The sequence below is a fragment of the Homo sapiens genome, chromosome 16, assembly GCF_000001405.40.
Source record: "Homo sapiens chromosome 16, GRCh38.p14 Primary Assembly".
NCBI classification, from domain to species: Eukaryota; Metazoa; Chordata; class Mammalia; order Primates; family Hominidae; genus Homo; species Homo sapiens.
In genome coordinates, this window is record NC_000016.10 from 87,117,445 (window position 1) to 87,119,786 (window position 2,342).

At 43.9% G+C, this 2,342-nt stretch overlaps 1 long non-coding RNA gene across 1 annotated transcript; it reads left to right on the plus strand.

Annotated features, from left to right (window-relative positions):
- The first annotated feature begins 204 nt into the window (after positions 1–204).
- Positions 205–2,342, plus strand: LOC105371394 (uncharacterized). The gene is made up of 4 exons (XR_007065169.1): positions 205–279; positions 1,735–1,948; positions 2,080–2,147; positions 2,256–2,342. It is a non-coding gene; the product is annotated as an uncharacterized LOC105371394 (long non-coding RNA).

The following is a 2,342-nucleotide window of genomic DNA, read 5'->3' on the forward strand; positions in this document are numbered from 1 at the left end:
CCTCCCAAAGTGCTGGGATTACAGGAGTGAGCCACTGTGTCTGGCCTAAATTCATTTTTCATTATAAATTTTCAAAATTCATCATTTATTTTGGGCAGGTGCAATATTAAATAATAATGGGAATGTGTGTGATGTCTAAAGTGATTTGATTTTGTGACTACTGCGGTGCTCAGCTGAACACAACTCCTGATTTGGAAGACAGACTTCTCGTTCCTGCTGCTGAGGATTCTTCTTTACCAGTTTTAACAGGAATGAGTGTTTATGTGAACATCTCTTGAGGTAATCTGATTATCCATCAATTATGTAAATAAGCATTCTAAAATTGAGCCATCCCCAAGTTACACACACTCTGGTGATAGTGAATTGTTATTATTTCGGTACTTATAATTCTGCAAAAATAAGTCAAAATGTTGCATTGTGAGTCCTCGTACTAGGTAAATTGGACTGCAGTTTCTGTTGTAGCATCACACAGCTGATACCGCTGGCTTGTGTTTCCTCAGAACACCTCGTCCTGTGCACGCTGACAGTTCTCTACCACGAGCACATGCAATCCTCTGCCAGAACTGCTGGCAAAGGTGCATGGGAGGGCACGCAGGGGCAGGTGGGGACTGTTGGGCTGGTCAGGGCTCCAGGACAGCCTGCAACCGAGGAAGAATAGAGGGAGGGGTGGGAGAGTACCACGACCACGCAGCTTCCTCAGCCCCCAGGTGGAAAACTTTCTACGCCATCCCCCCAGCGGCCCCCAGCAGGTTTGAGCCCCAGTTGCCCATAATAACCTGCTCACGGACATGCCCAGCACTGGCTTTTGGCCCTTTCCTGCTTCTCGTTCCCAGCTTCCTATCAGCACTTCCTGTGGGGCCCTTCCGGATGAAGCCCTTACATCAAAATCCTTGTCTCAGGGTCCGCTCTTGTGGGGACCTGAAGTAAGACACTTCATTTCAAAATAGATGGGTGTCTAAAGAACACAGCTCTGGAATCAGACAGACCTAAGATTAAATGCGAATTCTTCCAATGCTGGCTGTGTGATCTCAAACAAGGCACCTACACTTTAGTTTTTTCATCTGTAAAATAGGGATAATACTGGAACCAACTTATAAAATTCTTACAAGGACGTAGTAAGCTAATGCCCACGTCACTTTTCAAAATTCTTGGCATACAGCAAAGCACTTAAAATGCTCAATGTTACTGTCATTACCACCATTAAATTTCAGAATCAAGTTACATTCCTTGTACAACTTAAAAAATCAAACTTTTTTTTTTTTTTCCTGAGACAGAGTCTCGCTCTGGAGTGCTGGAGTGCAGTGGTGCGATCTTGGCTCACTGCAACCTCCACCTCCCAGGTTCAAGTGATTCTCCTGCCTCAGCCTCCCGAGTAGCTGGGATTACAGGCGCACACCACCACACCTGGCTAATTTTTTTATTTTTAGTAGAGATGGGGTTTCACCATGTTGGTCTGGCTGGTCTCATACTCCTGACCGCGTGATCCTCCTGCCTCAGCCTCCCAAAGTGCTGAGATTACAGGTGTGAGCCACCGTGCCAGGCCAAAAAATCAAACTTAAAAAATATATATGGTCACTCTTTTGTTCTTTGAGTGTTAAATTCATCAGTGTTTCCATTTAAAACCAATAACAATTTGGGGAGGTAGTTCTTGGGAACTCTGATTGTACCAATAAGAGAAAAAATGCTGAAACAATGGTTGAAAAGATCCCATTTCATGTCTCTGTTCTGTTACAGAGACCCACACTGTGGAAGATACTTACAAGACTGGGTTATATTTCTGGAAGAGCAAATTCATCTCTTGTCTCTCCAGAAGACTGACTTATTCCCCCACATTTATCCCAGACAAGAAAATGACTCAGTATTTCATTCAAGCTAAATTTGAGCAGAACTAAGTTCCTTTTCAGGAACCCTCCCCAGCTTCTCTGATGAGCACTTGTCATGTTTGGAGGTTAGTCAGCTTGTCCTGCCTCCTTTGTTTTTTGGCATAAGGGAAAGCCTATAAACCTACTGAACATTTTTTTCCTTTTTTATGTCTTTCATGTGTTACTTTCCGATCAAAAACGTGATTTGTCCATTTAGAAACTGCCCACCTGAAGCAAATAAAAACTTACAACACTGGACATCTTTGATGCAGCCCCAGATAAATGGTAGGCGGCCTGCCTGGGAGTGGGGAACGGGTGTCTTGTTTGAAAAATGGAACCGCCGTGTTGCTTGAAAAAGAGGTTTCCTCTTTTTTCTTTTCCTATTTTTTACAGTTGTGCTGGGATTTCTTGGAGAGCAGGTATCCTGGGAGTATACAGCAGCCTTGTCTCCAAGGAAAGACATGCAGGAAGCACTGAGAG